The sequence below is a fragment of the Homo sapiens genome, chromosome 9, assembly GCF_000001405.40.
Source record: "Homo sapiens chromosome 9, GRCh38.p14 Primary Assembly".
NCBI lineage: Eukaryota > Metazoa > Chordata > Mammalia > Primates > Hominidae > Homo > Homo sapiens.
The window spans coordinates 12,267,019-12,268,738 of record NC_000009.12 but is presented as its reverse complement, the minus strand read 5'-3'; positions in this window follow the sequence as shown (position 1 = coordinate 12,268,738).

Genomic DNA, 1,720 nt, shown 5'->3' with positions numbered 1-1,720 from the left:
GATTGGATTGTGCATTTACTGACAATGAGATTTGCTGATGAATTTGATACAGGTTGTGAGAAAGAGATTAGTCTACTAACAATATTGGCTGAGCAACTTGGAAAATAAAGTTCCCAGTTACTCAGGTAGAAAAAGTGTAGGAAGACCAAATATGGAGGTTTCCAAATCAAGAATTGAATTGGACATGTTAAATTTTAAATGCATATTGGAAGTTAAAATGGAGGTAATTTCAGGAGTTCAAGTGTTAGGTTCAAGACAGAGACATGAATTTGGAAAAATCAGGTTCTAGATGATTTTTAAACCATGATACTTGAGGAGTGCCCATATAGTAAGCATACAAAAAGAAGAAAAGAGGGCACTGGATGCATGTCTGGGTTACTCAATGTTCAAAGCTTGGGGAAATGAAGAAAAGGATGTGCATAGCCATGAGCATCACTCTAGTCTAAGAATCTCCTAAGCATTCTTACTGACAATATTACTGATGACCCCACCGCAACCCCAAGCTTTCTTTATCCATTTGCCTGTCAAGTCAGAACGACCTTCATCAAGTGCAGCTATAGTCCAGTCATGCTACCTTTCTGCTTAAAACCATTTGCCAGTTATTTAGCTAATGCTCAAACACCTTACTTAGACCTCATGACCTGTAAGCCCCTGAAGGATGGCTCATCTGCAAATGTTCTTCTTGTTACTACCTGTACTATCTGCATTAGGTTCTACCTAGAATGTTTCCCCCAATATCAGGGTATTAGGCCTGCCCAGCCTCCTGTCTAGAATTTCATTCCACTTCATATCTTCACCAATTTAACTCCTCATCACACATCTCTTCTCCATTTGCATGCCATATGCCCTGATACTTGATCAGATTCCTTTGCTTTAGCCCTTACATCTTCCTATCTATTCTTCAAATAAAATGAAATTTCAAATTACACTATTCTGCATTTATTGGACAAATATCTGTCATGATCATTAAATTCAATAAAAAAGGCTTCCTGCTTCTTTGAGTGACTACTCATTGCCTGGGGTCCTGGTACAGTCTCTGGCACAGAGAAATCCCTAGTGGTTAAATAAATTAATTAATTAACTTTTGTGTAACATTACTTAACATCTAAAATGGGTGCTGGGAGATAAAAAATTGCACGGGAATTTGAATATAGATTTAAGAGAAAGATAAATATATATAAGATATAATATAATTCAGTTAATTACCCTTATCTTGCAATGCTACCCCCATCTATGGAGCTTTCTAATATATTAGCATGATATTAGAAGGAATAAAAAAACTCAGACAAATTCTCCTTCATGTTCCTCTTCATTGGCTATATAGTTAATCCACTTACTCATAAAGCTGTGTTTGGTGGACGACAGTGTTAGCAAGTTAGGGTTTCCAGGCACTAGGCTCGCTGGGTCCATTTTGAAGGTCCCATAAGCCTTTTTTTTTTTTTTTTAATATGTGCAGAGTTCATGTTTTCATCAAAAGACAAACCCTCTTTGTTTTCCAATGCATTATCCTGAATTCTTTTCATCTTGCTACAGTTTCCATTTTTAAGACTTCCCTACCTTCTTCTTGTTCCTCATCTGCATGAGTTGCAAGCATTTTGCCAATGCCTCCAGCAAGTGGAGTCTTTTTCCTAAACCATTTCCACATGTGGCAATATTTTCTCCTAGAGCTGTTAAGCTTTTTATCCTTGCAGTTTGAGACAGAGGTAACTTACAGCATAGA